Below are 17,672 nucleotides of genomic sequence, written 5' to 3'. Positions count from 1 at the left end.
ACACAAAGGCAGTTTGACAAAGATGACTAAAATATCTCTATTTTTCATAAACATTATGCCTAGCTCTGGTTTTCAGAAACACATATTTGCATTTAAAAGTTCTTAATCATTTAGCTTTATTGCTTCTCTCCAATCTACTTTGGTAAATTCTTTCAACCAACCAACATACCTATTTGAAAAGAATGGGGAGGATATGGCCAGTGATTGGTAATCTTATACGCTTGGTACCTTAAATGTATCTCATTTTATCCTCACAGAGTTATGCCTTAACAAATGAAGAAACAGGAAACTCAAGAATAGCTAACTAATTTTCCCAGAGTGGTTAGGAAGCACCCCAGGTCTCATTCCAAAGCTCACACTCTGGCCTCTACCTAAATGTTGACACCACCAATGAATAAACTGTCTCTTGGTTTAGGCAAGAACATGCTCACTGTATAATTCAAAAACAGAATGACCCTTTCCTGCTAATAATCTTTTTAAAAATGTAAATCAACAACTGTTTATATCCCTGTTTTCCGTGGGATTGGCTTATCTGAATAAAAAACGAAGCATGAAATTATAAAGTCTTTCACCAGACAAAATTAAAGTATATTTTCCCCAAAAACTGAACAGAAAGACTACAAACTATAAGCCCGGGAGACCCAAAAAGAACAAAAGAACTATCTGTGCCATTTCTCATCACCACCAGGTCAGCCCTGCAAATCTCACTTTACTCTTTAGACCCTTCCCAGAATCAAAATGGACAATTACCTCATCTGAATTTAATCCAGCGGTTGCAGCCAGAGGCACTTTCCCATGTAGCACTGTGCTGGTCACCTCTTTTATGCCAAATACTAGGGAATCAAGGTCCTCCTTGATCCACATTCCAGTGGAGGAAGCCTCCTCTAGAACAGGTGTTCCTTCTTCTGAAATAGGCACTGAGTCAGTGTGGGCAGAAACTCCCAGGAAGGGCACACCAATGGGGGAAACTTCCTCCATAGGAGGCACTGCAGCAGCTGGGATGGCAGGCACCTCTGGGGTGGGCACTGAAGCAGCAGGGATGGCAGCCACCTCTGGGGTGGGCACTGCTGCTGCTGGGGAGGCGGGCTCCTCTAGGTTGGACACTGCAGCTGCTGGGGAGGCAGGCTCCTCGGGGGTGGGCACTGAAGCTGCTGGGGAACTGAGTTCCTCTGGGGTGAGCACTGCAGCTGCTGAGGAGGTGGGTTCCTCTAGGGTGGGCACTGCTGCTGCTGGGGAGGTGGGCTCCTCTGGGTTGGACACTGCAGCTGCTAGGGAGGCAGGCTCCTCAGAGGTGGGCACTGAAGCTGCCGGGGAAGTGAATTCCTCTAGGGTGGCCACCATAGCTGCAGGGGTGGGCACTGAAGCTGCCGGGGAAGTGGGTTCCTCCAGGGTGGCCACCACAGCTGCAAAGGAGGCAGATTCTGCTGGGGTGGGCACTGCAGCAGCTGGGGAGGCAGATTCCTCGGGGGTGGGCACTGCAACAGCTGCGGAGGCGGATTCCTCTGGGGTGGGCACTGCAGGAGCTGGGAAGGCAGGCTCCTCTGGGGTGGGCACTGCAGCAGCTGGGGAGGCGGGCTCCTCTGGGGTGGGCACTGCAGCAGCTGGGGAGGCGGGCTCCTCTGGGGTGGGCACTGCAGCAGCTGGGGAGGTGGGCTCCTCTGGGGTGGGCACTGCAGCAGCTGGGGAGGTGGGCTCCTCTGGGGTGGGCACTGCAGCAGCTGGGGAGGTGGGCTCCTCTGGGGTGGGCACTGCAGCAGCTGGGGAGGTGGGCTCCTCTGGGGTGGGCACTGCAGCAGCTGGGGAGGTGGGCTCCTCTGGGGTGGGCACTGCAGCAGCTGGGGAGGTGGGCTCCTCTGGGGGGGGCACTGCAGCAGCTGGGGAGGTGGGCTCCTCTGGGGTGGGCACTGCAGCAGCTGGGGAGGTGGGCTCCTCTGGGGTGGGCACTGCAGCAGCTGGGGAGGCGGGCTCCTCTGGGGTGGACACTCTGACAGCTGCAGTATCAGGCTCCTCTGGAGCATGCACTGTGGTAGCTGGGGTGACAGGCCCTTCTGGTGTACCATCCTCCTCTGTGATGGGTACTGTAATAGCTAAAGCAGCCCACTCTGGGGAGAACCCTGCGACAGCTGACATACCCTCCTGTGTGATGGCTGCTGCAACAGCTGGAGCAGTCTCCTCTGGGGAGGACACTGCAGCAACTGCAGCAGTCCCTTCAGGGACAGATACTGTAACAGCTGGGACAGTAGCCCTCTCTGGGGCTGATACTGCAGCAGCTGTGACATCCTCCTCCTCTAAGGAGACTATTGAAGCAACTAGGATGTCCTCATGTGGAAAGGGCACTAAAGCAGCAACTACAGCAGTTCCCTCTGGGGCAGGCACTGCAGCAATTGAGGTACCCTCCTCTGGGCTGGGCAGTGCAGCATCTAGGGCATCTTTGACAGTGGGTACTGCAGCAGTCCGGGAAGGTCTCTGGAGGACGGGTATCCATTCCTCTAAAACTGGTTCAGTATTACCAGCCTTGGTAACTTGTTTCTCTGGAAAAATATTTAGGAATGAATCTGAATCTCTCCTTTCCATCTCCCCTCCCTCTGATGATGCCACATTCAGCTCAGGCTTTGTATCATTCACAGTTTCCACTCCATCTGGATTAAGTCTCAGTTCTTCAACCAGCAGGTGCAGACTCAGAATCTCTGACTCTGGGGACTTCCTCTGGAGATCCTGGAAGACCTGCTCTGGGAAGTTTCTGTGGAAATGTGCTGGAGCTTGATCCTCCAAAAGTGTGGCTTGATAATCCAGCTCTTTTGCCTCACCATCCTCATCACAAACTTTCTCCACAGACAATTCACAAGTGACCACATTTCCCATTGATGTCAGACTGTTATTTTCTTGATTAACAGTTACATTCCCACTTTCCAAATGAATTTCATCTGTTAGTAAATTTGATTCATATAACACCTCTACTTCAGGTCCTGAGGTAACATCTGTTAGTTCATGATTAAAAGCAAAACTGAAGGTGACCCTCTCAATGCACTCCTCACCATTCCCCTCAGTTTGACTGCAGTCTCCCTGGGACAAACTGCCATTGTCTTTGGCCAGCTCAGAAGCAATGAAGCCTGATAATTTTTCTTCATGAGAAACCCTGTGATCAGAGTTCAGCAGTCCTCCTGGGTCCAGCTTTTCCAGTGAATCCAGATCAGCTGGCTGTCTGGACTTAAATTCTGCAGTCCTGGGGCTAAAAGGCACTTTTTCACATTCCTCCTTGCTAACAGTGGAAGTGTCTCTCATGATATCAACGTGGGCAATAAGTTCCACAGCATTAGGCACCTGAGAAGAATCCAGGGTATTAAAATATCCACAATCCAATCTAGTATCATAATCTTTTGCCCTTACATGTAAAAGGCCTAAATGCTGTTCCTTTTCTAAGGCAGCCCCTGAAAAATGACTAATTACGAGTAAATTTTCTGCATCCTGGGATGCAGCCAGCCCTTCAGAAGAGATTTGATTCTGTAGCTCAACTAGAGGAGTTACTCCTTCTTCACATAAACACTCCTTTTCAAGTTCAAGAAACATCTGCACTGAGTCTGTGTCAGAGAGCTGTTCTGCATCAATAGTACCCACAGTACATGCTGAATCTGAAACAAGTCCCTCTAACCCCTGAGCAGTTCTGTTTGCCACCTCACCGAGAATATCCTCACCTGTAAGAACACAATCGCAATCCAGGGGTATATCCTTGGGAACAGTAGCCAACTGGTCCTTGGCTGGCTGTGGGTCATCAGGGCAACAAATCTGACCAAGAGATAGGTGGCCAAAAGTCCTCAAGACAGCAGCTAAGCAATCGGATCCATCCTCCACCACTGCTGTGTTTGCTTGTTCTCTTTCTTCAAAAATATCTGCCAGGCTGTTCTTCTCATCTGCCATCAGAAAAGTCTTTTCCCTGTCTGACAGTTTCTCTTCCTCCCACTCTCCCTCAGCCTCCATCATAATCCATCGCTCATCCTCCTCAAACTTTAGCTCAGACTCTGTTTTCTCTCTCAGGCTGGGGGTTATGAGAACATGCAATTCTGGATCTAACAGCTCTTCACTCAGGCAAGGGGAGAGAGGTGGCATTTCCACAGTGCAGGCTGTGTCCCCAAGGGGGTGCTGCTTCTCACTGAAGCCTCCCTTAGCTAAACTTTTTGTGGCCCTCGGCCAGGTTGCACTTGAGAATCTGGATTCCTGCATTACATCTGTGTTACCACTTGTTGCTACAGCTTCTGATTCTACAGGCTGGAATTCATGAGGAGGGTTTGCACTGTGCTGCTGAAATCTAAAGTCCTGGCAGTCTCCACTTAAGTTTTTAAAATCTTGCACCTCTGGAATACCTATGGATTTGGACACATGTTCCAGAGTTACTGACTCTGACTGAGGTTCCCTGTGGTCCAAATGACCAGAACTTTCTGTTAATGCAGAACTGGACTCCTTCTTCTCTTGCAAGGAAGGATTTGAAGCACCAGCTTCTGAAACCTCACTGAGAGAAGCTTCTATCCTCTCTGCAAATTCTGGGAAGTTGGGTGGCATGAAGGACTTCCACGATCTCCTGTTAACATTGTCTTTGCGTTCTGCATTTGGCCGCCTTCTGGGTGGCACAGGTGCTGACTTCTGCACATCACTGCTTAGCTTTAGTGCATCAAATATTATCCTCTCATCCAGCTTCTTACCTTCTGGTGCTCTAGATTCAAAAACATTAGATGCTGCTCCTAATGTACCATTGCTGGATATAGTACTTCCTTCCATCTTTTCCATGGTGCTTTTTGAAGTCTGGTTAAGCTTTGACCCCTGGTCAATTTGCTCATTTATCCTCATCGTATCATATATAGACCGTTGTGGAACATAGCAGTCCTCTATGTAGCCATCCTCCTCCTCTCCTTTCCCCAGGCAGCTGGGGTTCCGCCTTAAACAGTCTGGTCTGCTGAGTGGCTTACCCATCCTTTTTCAATCAAGATGAACCATCAATCTTTCAAAAGTATTTTTCACAGGTTCCCCCCAAATGCATTCTACATAAGTTATAAATCCTTTTAGCTGTTCATACCCCAAACCACCAATTGCATCTGCCCTCCAGAAAGGCCTGGAAGTTCCGTTTTGAAACCATTCTGGGAGAAGCTCTAAGACAAACAGCTTTTTCCTCACAGGCTAGCAGCCTCATGGTTGACAGACGATATAATTTAAAATAATTCCTTGTATGGCTTATGGTTTAATTTTTTTTAAGAGCACTGCTCTTTCAAATACAGTCAACAAAAATCATCTGATATTGACGAGTCTTTTTCGATATCTAGTTCCACTCACTTCTCACCGAAGCAGAGTTGGGAGCAGCAAATTTATGCCGATTGTATCCTTTAATAACAATGGCACAGCCTCTCTAGTCTTCAAGTATGGCCCAAGCTCCTAAGAATTCCTTTCATTTTATCCTCAGTTCCAGCCCTGGAGAGTCCAGCTGGTCTGAATTAGCCATTCGTCCTCCCTAGCTGGGGTGTTTGCATTTGAACTGGGCTGGTCGGCGGATATTCCTGCAACTTTAAACACAGGAAGTCCTTCATTCGGGGCCAGCTTGGGGCTTCCTGTCTCCAAAACATCATGGCATTGTTGTGGCTCCCAGGCCAACCCTGCGCTGTAGCTGCAAAACAAGGCGAGCGGAGCCCCGCGCCAGGCCTTCGGAAAGGCAGGCGGGCGGGCGGGCAGCAGCAGCGGCCGCGGGTCTGTCGGAGGGGCTCGCTCAGCACGGCCCGCTTCCCCGCGCCATGCCGCGCGCCCCGAGGGCCAGGGTCGCCTCACCGCAGGCTGCAGGTGGCTCCCGGCCGCGCCAGCCTCAGGTCCCGCGCTCAGGAAGTTAGTTTGTCCCTCCGGCAGCTGAGTCCCGAGTGCTGTGGGCGCCGCCTCGCCCGCCGCCGCCAGTCCCCGGCCCGCAGCCGCCACGCCGTGGGCTGCATGACAAGCAGCCGCCTCTATTCTCCACCACGCCGCTGGCCCCGCGGCCCCGCCGTCCTCCCCGCCCGCAGCTGTCACGGTCCCGGCATGCAAACTTCTGGCTGGGAACAAAAGGCTCCGCTAGGGTCGGGCGGGGGGCGAGTCCTCCTCCCCCGCGCAGCGCGACCCGCTAGCTCGCTAGCTCGCTGGAAGTGCTCGGCTGGCGGGCGGCTCTCCTCCCCCTTCCCCGCGCCGCCGCGCTGCGCCGCCCCGCCCGGGCAGCCCCCTGGAAGCCAGGGAGCGCGCGACGCGGAGAGCACAGGAAGGAGGACGAGGGCGGGGGCGGGGCCCGGCGGGGGCGGGGCCGGGGAGAGGAGCGACTCCGAGAGTGGAGGGAGCGGTGGAGAGGATTGGAGGCTGAGGCGCCGAAGGAGGGGCTTCTGCGGGATTCGGAGCGAGAGACCCGGGACGCCAGCCGTTCGGCTCCCGCAGCCCACGCCCACCGCGCCCCGGGGCCAGAGGGGAACGCCCCGCCCCCGGAGAGGGCGCAAGGAGAGGAACGGAACCCGCGCGAGTCTGGGCTGCGCGGCGCAAATCCCCTGACAAAGGAAAGCCCCGCCCTCCTCCCGCTGGCCCGGCCCCTCCCGCCCCTGTCTCGCTCCAACCGGCCCGGCTCCGAGCCCAGCCCAAAGGCGAACGAATCCAGAAAGGGCGCCCGCGCTCCCCCAGCTAGCCGGCTCTGGCGACGGCCACTCGAGTTCCCGTGTGCCGGCAGGTCGCGCCGGCTGGGGTAGGCCGCCTGCATCGCTCTCGGCTCCATCTCTGCCGCCAAAGGCTGTCCCTGCTCCTTCCAGTGTCACCTTTAGCGCGCCCCTTGCCGGACCGAAGAACACTCCAGCCTTAAACCCGGCACTTTCCCGGTGTCCCAAAGGAATTCGGTCACGCTCAGAGACCAAAGTTATTGGATAACTCTAGGCACATTCTACCTTCCCTCTCCCCCTTCTCAAGTATATCAAGTCCTGGTCAATTCTCCCACCAGGATTTCTCTGCTCACAGACCTGAGTGGTATCAATGACGGAAGAAAATGGGGTGTTGGGGGAGGTGGGGATGCCAACAGCTGAGCCCTACGACCAAACACCTGGGTCCTTTATAGTTGCGCACAGCCAAGGAAACCTGAGCCTCCTTGGACCAGATGAAAAGCATGGGTATTTCAAATCTCAAATAGAAAACACTAGAGAAAAGTCGCTCACAATCCCGTCGTCCACGGCCTTTGGCTTTTAGAAAAGCCACTTGGTCACCTGGTGACTGTTAAACAAAGAAAGTACAAAGGGCAACCCAGGAAACTGTCCACCAGAGGCAGCTGCATCTCTGAACGGGTCCAATACTCTGTTCTATTTGTGATGGCCATTCTCTGATTTTATGAAGGAAAAAAACATCTATTAAAATTCGGAATCTCTGTCGGACCATGTGGTCAATATATACCGCAAAACTTATGGAAAAGTTATTTCTATCCTTTACACAAACAGTAAGTGAAACCAACACCTGGTGTATGAAGATCTGGCACTGAAACCTTGAGCTGAGCCTTAGGCTTACTTAGGGAATCAGACTGGTCCTTGGCAAAAATGAGAAGTGCGCTGAAGCCTGTAATCGGAATTAGGCAACTAAAAGACCTTTCTCTGGTAAAATGCTTTACACTTCATTTCTCACTTCAACAACGGCTGCTGATCAATTCTACCCACTCAAATCCAAAAGACTCTGCCCATCTGTAAACTGAAAGGGGTGGGGAGGCCGACTAGGTTGTGTCTTGACACCCTTTCTAGTTTTAATATTTTTTAGTTCTAAAACTTTTAAAGGCACTGCCCCAGAATCCTGTGTCCTCTTGGTCGTATACTGCCAAGACACTAGAAACCCTGTCCTATGAAGAACAAACAGTGCAAGACCCAATAATGTCTGACCTAGAGAAAGTTCTAGGAGATGTAATTAGCATGAAGTATCTGAAGGGCTGAGACGTGGGAGGAAGGAAACTTGTTCTGGGTATCTCCTTAAGCTGGCACACTAAGATGTGAGATTTAAAACCAACAAAGAGCTTCTCACAGCTATTCAAAGAATAGAGTGTCCCCTAAACTGGTGACTTTCCTGACCCTGGAGGTGTTTGAGCAGAAATTCAAGCAATCACTTGGCAGAGATTTGGGAAAACAGATTTACAAATCTTCTGCAGTTTGTTCAGATGAATTTTAAAGTCCTTTCTAACTCTGATACACTGTAATCCTAAGGACTGACAGCTTACAGATCTGATACTTAACAGTTTAGGGAATCCAGGTTTTAATTTTCCTTTAATTATTCAGCACAACTGGAAAAACTCAGGGAAGGAAAGATCAATTTTACTAGCAAATATCCCTGGCCAAATACATTCACTTAAGTGTTCAGATATCATAACAGACTGTTTAGCATGCCAGGGCCCCTCTGGTTGGAAGAATCTGAGGAATTCTGGCTCTGGATGAAACATGGGTGGTTATTCTATTATAAAGAATGTTTTTTTTTTTTTTTTTTTTGAGTGAGACTCTGTCTCACTCTGTCGCCTAGACTGGAGTGCAGTGGCGCAATCTTGGCTCACTGCAATCTTTGCCTCCTGGGTTCAAGCGATTCTCCTGCCTCAGCCTCCCCAATAGCTGGGATTACAGGCATGCGCCACCGCACCCAGTTAATTTTTTGTATTTTTAGTAGAGATGGGTTTCACCCCTTGTTGGCCAGGCTGGTGACCTGACCTCAGGTGATCCACTCACCTCAGCCTCCCAAAGTGCTGGGATTACAGGCGTAGCTACTGTTCCCAGCCATAAAGAATTATCTTGATGTGGAATCACAAACTTCATGAACAGAAATTCCTTTACTGTTTCCTCACCAAGTCAGGTATCAACCAATCCAGACTTTTCTTAAATAATTCCCTCCCATGTCTATCTACCAATATTCTTACTACTCTCATCAGTGATCCATATAAATAAATAAATGGAGCATTCCTACGACTATGAAATTCAGATTCGAATTACTTATTATCTGCAGTCACACTCTCTCTAATTAGGGTGTTAGGAAAACAAATTTAAATACAACCTAAAGAGAAATTACATATAGTAATCTAATCCTCCCACCGCACCTCCAAAAAAACCCCAGAACCCAAAGCCAAAGAATACTTTCTGAGTGCTTTGCTCTTTTTAAAAAATCATCAGTATGTGTTTAGAAATAAATCAAGAGAGGAAGCACAAGTTCTCCTCCATGTCTTAATTTTTATCTGTTCATGAGTTTCTCCTTAGTTTAGGTATGTGAAACTCTGCCAATAGCCATCTCAGGGACTGAAATAAATACCTGATACAGCTTTCCACCTCTTGTTGCCCTGATAGCTACAAAAAAAAAAAAGCATCTGTTCATTTCACATGCTGTGTATAAACTTTTTAAAAGAGAAATACAGGGAGCTCCAGAGACCCTCTTCAGATATTTCCCCCACCCCTGTAACCACAAACATATGCACTGAAGCCAAATTTCAAATGAGTTTCCGGTTAATTGATTACAGAGTTCAAAGAATTCTCTACTCATTTTGAAATTCCCAAGTACAGAATTTGGTGTTAGATTTTCCTTCAGTGAACTTAGAAGAAAGAAAAATCCTGGCCCTTCCAGCTCCTTCCTGCAGTCTTCCTAATGAAAGACAGCCGGGTGGAGTCTCCTCACACCCTAACATAGCTCCCTTTCCAAGTTTTGGACCTGGCATCCTGCCCTTGTCTGCTCCAGACCTAAAATGCCAGCCCTCTGGGACAATCTGGAGACCCCAGATTCACACTTCCCTAGATTCTATGATGCCTTATCACCCACCTTGATGGGTGCTCTCTCTTGGAAGACTAATTCTGAGTAGAAGAGGATACAGAGGACTGGTTGGATCTTGCTCATTTTAAATCTACACAATGCCTTTCATCTTAGGATCTTTAGATTTTACAAGCATTATTTAGTAGCAAGTAGAAACTCCACAGTATTAGTCTGTACCTGTTGGGCATCAGTCACTGCCATCCTTTGGTACTTTTATTATTATAAACATGGCTACGGAGTGGCTCATAAAGCAACATAGCATGACACGAAGTTTGCTTTAAGTGGGATACTAAGGATTTTGATGCTATTTGAGCTCTCATGTACTCGTGAACCCATGAGAAAACTTTCCACACACTCTGCAGGAACTCTCATGACCCCTGTAAGCCCTTTCCTGCCTGTAGACTTTCCAAAAGACAGTGTATTAATCCCTCTTTTTAGACTAATGGTCACCAAAACCATGGTGATGACAAAATCATGGGGCTTTGCAAGTTAGAAAAGACCTGACAGAAGGGTGGGAAGAAGGAAGGCAGGAGGTATCAGAGAAGGCTTTATGGAGGGAATCACATTTACTCATTAGGATTTCAGATATACAGAGATGGCAAAGACAAATATTTCTAAGTAGAGAGCTGAAGGCAGGACTCTAAAGAAGCAAATTCTGGCTGGGCTCAATGGCTCACACCTGTAATTCCAATACTTTGAGAAGCTGAGGCAGGGGTATCCCTTGAGGCCAGGAGTTCAAGACTAGCCGAAGCAACATTGCAAGACACTCGTCTCTACAAAAAGTTAAAAAATTGGCCAGGCATGTGCATCTGTAGTCCTAGCTACTTGGGAGGTTGAGCTGAGAAAATCGTTCAGCCCAGGAGTTCAAGGTTACAATGAGCTGTAATTGTGTCATTGCACTCTAGCCTGGCGACAGAGTGAGATCCTGTCTCCAAATTTTTTTGTTGTTGTTGTTAATTTTTTTTTTTTTCCAGACAGGGTCTCACATTGTCACCCAGGCTGGGGTGCAGTGACACGATCTCGGTTCACTGCAACCTCCACCTCCCAGGTTTAAGTGATTCTCCTGCCTCAGCCTCCCAAGTAGCTGGGATGACAGGTGTGCACCACCATGCCCAGCTAATTTTTGTATTTTTAGTAGAGATGGGGTTTTACCATGTTGTCTGAGCTTAAGTGATGCACCTGCCTAAGCCTCCCAACTGGGCTTACAGCATGAGCCACCATGCCCAGCAAAAAAAAACCGTTTTATTCTATTTCATTTTATTTATTTATTTATTTATTTATTTATTTATTTACTTACTTATTTATTTATTTTTTTGAGGCAGAGTCTCACTCTGTTGCCAGGCTGGAATGCAGTGGCACGATCTCGCTCATTGCAACCTCTGCCTCTCAAGTTCAAGCGATTCTCCTGCCTCAGCTTCCCAAGTAGCTGAGATTACAGGCACACACCACCACACCTGGCTAATTTTTCTATTTTTAGTAGAGATGGGGTTTCGCCATGTTGGCCAGGCTGGTTTCGAACTCCTGACCTCAGGTGATCTGCCCGCCTCGGCCTCCCAAAGTGCCAGGATTACAGGCATGAGCCACGAAGCCCGGCCCCCCCGCCCAAAAATTTTTAAATGAGGACTTTGGGACGGGATGCTCACTCAACTGTCACTTATTATTATCTCATTTAAAAAATCTAAATCTTTATAAATGAAACTTAGGGTGGCAAGCATACTTGTTCAGAATAATACACCTAGTAAAAATGAGGAAGAGGGCTGTGAAAGTAATTGCAGAGGAAGAATATTTGGGCTTCACAACTGACCAGAGAGAAGGTAGAGGTTAGAGGGAAAAAAACAAAGATAATGCCATATAGTGTTACTCTTAGGTTACTAGGGGCATAGTAGTACTTATTATAAAACAACAGCAGGAAAGAATAAAATATTTGAATTCATTTATCTTAGAGCATTCTGTATGTGAAATACTAAAAAACGACCCATGTGAAGGTGTCTAGAAGGGCCCCTCACACAAAAGATTCAATGCTGGGATAGAGATATAGATTTGGGCCAGGCGTGGTGGCTCACACCTGTAATCCCAGCACTTTGGGAGGCCGAGACAGGCAGATCACCTGAGGTCAGGAGTTTGAGACCAGCCTGGCCAACATGGCGAAACCCCGTCTCTACTAAAAATACAAAAATTAGCCATGTGTGGTGGCATGCACCTGTAGTCCCAGCTACTTGGGAGGCTGAGGCAGGAGAACCACTTGAACTTGGGAGGTGGAGACTGCAGTGAGCCAAGATCGCACCCACTGCACTCCAGCCTGGGAGACAGAGCGAGACTCCATCTCAAAACAAAACAAAACAAAACAAAACAAAACAAAACAACCAAACAAAAAAAAAACCAAACCAAACAAAAAAAACAAAAGAGAGAGAAAGATAGATTTGGAAGCCTTTCCCCATAGAACAGTGAGGAGCTGCCATCTCAGAGGTTGAGTGCAGAGAGAAGAGAAGAGACAGATGACAGAGTTTAAGGAACCACATATTTAGGAGATAGGAAGACAAACCAAAAAGGAAAGCAGAAGAGCAGCCAGAGAAGAGAACGGAAGAGCACAATGTCCAGAAAGTAAATTAACTTTCAAGAAAGAAGATCTGATATTAAATGCTGTACAATGAAAGAGGGGAATAGTGAGGCAGACAAGGCCACTAGACTTGGCAACTAGGAAGCCAATGAATATCTAAGAGAGCAGTTTCAGCACAGTGATGGGTGTTGGATCAGATTAGAGGGGGTTAAGGATAAGCAGTGGTGAGAAATAAGTATGGATCCTCCCTTCTTCTTGAGACTGTGTTCTTTTGACTTCCATGACACTGTGGTACCCTGGTGCTATCTTTCTAGCCAGTCCTTCTTTGTCTCCTTGGATTCCTCTTCCTCTCCTCTTGAGGCAACTAATTTCACAAGGTTATATCGTTGATTCTCTTCTTTTCATCCATTCACCAAATATTTATTGGTATCTACTATGTGCTCTAAACTATCCCAGGCACTAAGGAAAGCACACCGTGCTATGAGAACATGGGTCATGGGCCTCAACCTGGCCTGGAAGCTCAGGGTAGGTTTCCCTGAGAAAGTGATGATGTGGGCCTCCCCCTGGGACTAACTGAGAGTAGTCTTTCCAGTTCCAGAGTGGCATGATCATCACAAAATTGCTTGGTTATTTCCATGAAAGAGGTCTCTGGGTTGAATCACCCCCTCTTTTTTGAGACACAGTCTCACTCTGTCACCCAGGTGGAGTGCAATGGTGCGATCTTGGCTCACTGCAACCTCTACCTCCCAGGTTCAAGCGATTCTCCTGCCTCAGCCTCCTATGTAGCTGGAATTATAGGCACCCACCACCAAGCCTGGCTAATTTTTGTATTTTTAGTAGAGACGGGGTTTTACCATGTTGGCCAGGCTAGTTTTGAACTCCTGACCTCAAGTGATCTGCCTGCCTTGGCCTCCCAAAGTGCTGGGATTACGGGCGTGAGCCACTGCGTCCAGCCCCTGCTCCTCAATATTAGAAAAGAAGGCAGAATAAATAATACAGAGAGAAGAGATTTCTAAAAACCATCTCTTTCATTTCGTTACTAAGGAAAATTCTTATCATTGATGACAAAGAAACAAACAGCTTAGGTATGAATTTAAAGAATTAGACCAAAACCAGAGCTTATCCTTTGGGAATGAATTGCAAGATGACAGAGATATTAAATGGTTCACTTGATAAATACAATTAATTCAAGATGGAGAAAATCTAAGGCACATATAATTTCTTTGAATTATCTTCTTTCCTTGACTCATATATACACATGACCAAATGTTAAAAACATTAAAAACACATATTTGCTGAAACTGTAAAGAATTAAAGACTTTCTGTAAAACATCTCAATCTGGTATGAGATTGGCAGACAGATGAATTATATCTGTATTTTAAGCTGCTTGCTTCTGAAACTCTGCCGATATTTTTTGGCTCAGCCCTCAATGTTTTAATTAAAGATTGATTAATATTAAGAGATGTCTTTCCTAAAGATGCTGACTTAGTAGTTGCCATTGTACGGTAACAGAGGAAGATAACATGGTCTATGATAAAAGCTAATTAGGCCAAAATCCCTGAGATCATTAGAGCTGATCTAATGGGCAACTGAGTGGCTGGGGAAGTCACTGAGCTGGTAATGTCTTCTGGTTAATTCTGGTTAATGATTTGAAAATAATATGAATTTGTAGAGCATACAAGCCAAGGCCAAAATGGTCTCAGAAAAACCTGCTGGTTGTAGGATTCTGATAGAAATGCATAAATGAATTAATGAATAAATAAATATGTATGTATATGTATGTGTACATAAAATATATTTTAAGCTGTGTTGAATCATGACCTAAACTTGCCTATTATTCCCACTCTAGGGCTAGAAATAAGCCCTATTGTTCCCACAAAAACTGCTCAGGAAGGCTCTCTATCCATCCACTTGTTTCATTGTTATCAAACTAATTTTACTTTATCCTCATAATTTCCATTTTTCCAATTTTCAAGAAGAAAATAATCTGGTGCTGGGCCTTAGATCAAGTCTTCTGGAGAATGATGATCCCTAGGCACAAAGAGGGGTAACTGTTCTTATTAAAAAGATTTCACAGGCTTGATACAATGGCTCATGTTTATAACCCCAGCATTTTGGGAGGCTGAGGTGGGCGGATCACTTGAGCTCAGGAGTTCAAGACTAGCCTGGGCAACGTGGTAAAACCCCATCTCTACAAAAGATACAAAAATTAGCTGGGTGTGGTGGTGCATGCCTGTAATCCCAGCTACTTGTAGGGGCTGAGGCAGGAGGATCGCTTGAGCCTAGGAGGTTGAGGCTGCAGTGAGCCATGATCATGCCACTGCACTTCAGGCTTGATTGACAAAGTGAGACCCTGTCTCAAAAACAAACAAACAAACAAACAAAAAATGAAAAAAAAAAAGATTTCACAATATTCTAATTTATATGTCTAGATAAGCTTCTTTTTAAAAAAAAGCATATTATCATCTAGTGAGCTGAGCACCAAATATAAGCCTAATACTTTTAGATATATCACTTCATTTAATTTTCATAAAAATCCTAAAGGTATGATTTACCAATATTTGTATTTTACAGTTAAAGTAAGTAAGATTCAGAGAGGTTAAGTAATTTCCCTGAAGGTCACTCAGCTAGTAAATGATAGAGCCAGGATTCAAACCTGGATACTTCTGACTAGAACTTGTATTCAGTTTTTTTCACTACACCAAACTGTCAACTAATTGAGTAAGTAGCAATGACTCTGTGCATAAGAAGTAGCACATTTCTTTCTTAGTTTTGCCCTCTTATACTGAAAAAAGATTGTGTTCCCTTAACATATACTAACTAGCAGAGAAGGAAGGAAGCCCAGAAGAAAGATGGAGAACTGAGGAAATCAGGCTAAGATTAGAATTTCTTCAGGACACACAAGGATATATACCTCAAGTCTTGCAGAGTAGATAGCATTTTGAATCCTAGAGCTCACATGGCTTATGAGAAATAAAGAATGTTCATCCAGTCAGTCAAATATTGTCTCATCTCCAACTGTGTATATACCAATATGCTAACTACATTAAGGGACACAAAAGTGAATTAACTGAGGGGATAGGACAAATGGATATAATCAGAAAATGTCAAAATTAGGTGGTATGTGATAAAAGCCAAGTGAGTTATACATTGTAAATGATTAAGAGATCAGGAGTAGTGAGCTGGGGAGATCAAAAGCCTTTATAAGGCCGGGCATGGTGGCTCACGCCTATAATCCCAGCACTTTGGGAGGCCGAGGTGGGTGGATCACCTGAGGTCAGGAGTTCGAGACCAGCCTGGCCAACGTGGCGAAACCCTGTCTCTACTAAAAATACAAAAAAATTAGCCAGGCAAGATGGTGCGTGCCTGTAATCCCAGATACTTGGGAGGCTGAGGCAAGAGAATCGCTTGAACCTGGGAGTCAGAAATTGCAGTGAGCCGAGATCGCACCACTGCACTCCAGCCTGGGTGACAGAGCCAGAATCCATCTCAAAAAAAAAAAAAAAAAAAAAGCTTTATAAAGAAGTGGACTTGAGCTATGACTTCAGAAATCAAATACCTAAAATGTATAAGGAGTGTCTGGGGTAACTGGATGTAGTGTATGGTCTATATAGGAAATAACACTGGAAAGATAGTGGGGATCAAATACATCCAAGACTGGAGACACAGAAATAGGCTAGTTCTGAAGGATACAACCATTTATCAGATCAGATGGCCTTCGAATTGCTTTGGGGGAAGGATAAGCACTTACAGAAAGAACTGTGAATACAGACAGAAGGTCAGGAAATCATTTTGGAGATGAAAATTTTAGAGGGCTATAGCATAATTTATGTCTGTTTTTTTCCCATAGGAACCATGTATGTATATGCTAGCTATCCAATCACACCAGCTCTCTGCATTCTTAACAGAGGGTCCTTTGTTCCAAACAGTAAGGCTCAAAAGAAACATAGTCTGATAAAATCACACTGAGATCAGTACTCCCAGCTGGTGCAAGGGCTGATGCCATTCCATAACACACCCTACAGGAAGCAGCCTGAGATACACAGCTGATTGATTTCCACAGCAGGAGCCTTGTGGCAGTGTGGGGTGGGGACTGGTCAGGCATAGAGAAAATTCTTCAGTCGCTGACTCAGATTAGTTCCCCAAGATCCTGACTCTATCTGTGTAAGTCACTCCCGGAAGCAACACTATTTCTTAACTAATTTTCTTAAAAGGAGAGGAAAACCACAGAAGCACCCCCAGCGAGTGGAACTATTTAATCAGTTAACTCTTACTTGTCATGGGATCTGAAGATGGCAAAAATCAAATTCCCTAGCTTTCTAGAAGTAAGCTGAATAATTCTTTCATTGTAAGGGGCCGTCATCCTGTGTATTGTAGGTTGTTTCGCAGCACTTACTAGATGCCAGTAGCAGCTTTTCCAGTCATAACAATAAAAAATGTCTCTGGGCCAGGCACTGTGGCTCATTCCTGTAATACCAGCACTCTGAGAGGCTGAGGTAGGCAGATCATTTGAGCTCAGGAGTTCAAGGCCGGCCTTGGCAACATGGTGAAACTCTATCTCTACAAAAAATACAAAAATTAGCCAGGAATGGCAGCATGCACCTGTAATTCCAGCTACTTGTGGGGCTGAGGCAGGAGGATCACTTGAGACTGGGAGGTCGAGGCTGCAGTGAGCCATGATTGTGCCACTGCACTCTAGCCTGGGTGATGGGAGTGAAACTGTTTAAAAAAAAAAAAAAAAAAAGGAGTGGCGGGGAGTGGGAGTCTCTGCAAAGCTATGCTTGGTTGACAACCACTGGTGTAGCATAAACTTTGGTGCCAAACAGACCTTCCCAATCCCAACTCTAATATTTACTTGCTATGTGGCTCGAACAAGTTATTTTAACCTCTTCAAGTCTTAAGTTTTCTTATCTGCAAAATAGGATTTTAAATGTCTGATTTAGAGTTTTTTTCAGAGATCATTTAGACTCAGATCTTTCTTACTGCATTTACCACTACATCAGTACCACTGTAATTCTCTGTATCTGTTTCCCTTACTATAGATGGTCTCTGACTTAACAATGGTTCAACTGAAGATTTTTCAACTTTATGATGGTGAAAGTGATATGCATTCAGTAGAAACCATACTTCAAGTACCCAATCATTCAGTTTCTCTATTTCAGTACAATATTCAATAAATTACATGAGCGAGTCAGCACTTTATTATAAAATAGGCTTTCTGATAGATGATTTTGCCTAACTGTAGGCTAATGTAAGTGTCTGAGTATGTTTAAGGTAGGCTAAGCTGAGCTATGATGGTCAGTAGCTACTTTTTTTTTTTTTTGGAAC

General features: G+C 46.2%; 1 protein-coding gene across 3 annotated transcripts in view, besides 2 other annotated features; it reads right to left on the bottom strand.

Moving 5' to 3' along the window:
• MACF1 (microtubule actin crosslinking factor 1) overlaps positions 1 to 17,672 on the bottom strand; it is a 402,972-nt gene that overhangs the window by 71,911 nt on the left and 313,389 nt on the right. The window contains exon 1 of one of the 3 annotated variants that reach the window (NM_001397473.1): positions 751 to 6,155. The exons of the other annotated variants lie outside the window; for them this stretch is intronic. Coding sequence (NP_001384402.1) covers positions 751 to 4,962 — 4,212 coding nt within the window. The 5' untranslated portion in view covers positions 4,963 to 6,155. Of the gene's footprint in view, positions 1 to 750; positions 6,156 to 17,672 lie in introns of those variants that run through there. 3 annotated transcript variants of the gene reach the window in all.
• Positions 5,856 to 6,085: a silencer, noted in NCBI's record as "silent region_699". NCBI's record gives its function as "represses an Ori minimal core promoter by ATAC-STARR-seq in GM12878 lymphoblastoid cells {active_cell/tissue: GM12878}" and the evidence as "EXISTENCE:reporter gene assay evidence [ECO:0000049][PMID:35858748]".
• Positions 6,096 to 6,705: a silencer, noted in NCBI's record as "silent region_698". NCBI's record gives its function as "represses an Ori minimal core promoter by ATAC-STARR-seq in GM12878 lymphoblastoid cells {active_cell/tissue: GM12878}" and the evidence as "EXISTENCE:reporter gene assay evidence [ECO:0000049][PMID:35858748]".

This window comes from Homo sapiens, chromosome 1, assembly GCF_000001405.40.
Source record: "Homo sapiens chromosome 1, GRCh38.p14 Primary Assembly".
NCBI lineage: Eukaryota > Metazoa > Chordata > Mammalia > Primates > Hominidae > Homo > Homo sapiens.
The sequence above is the reverse complement of the archived record's forward strand: the minus strand, read 5'-3'. Positions and strand labels throughout refer to the sequence as shown.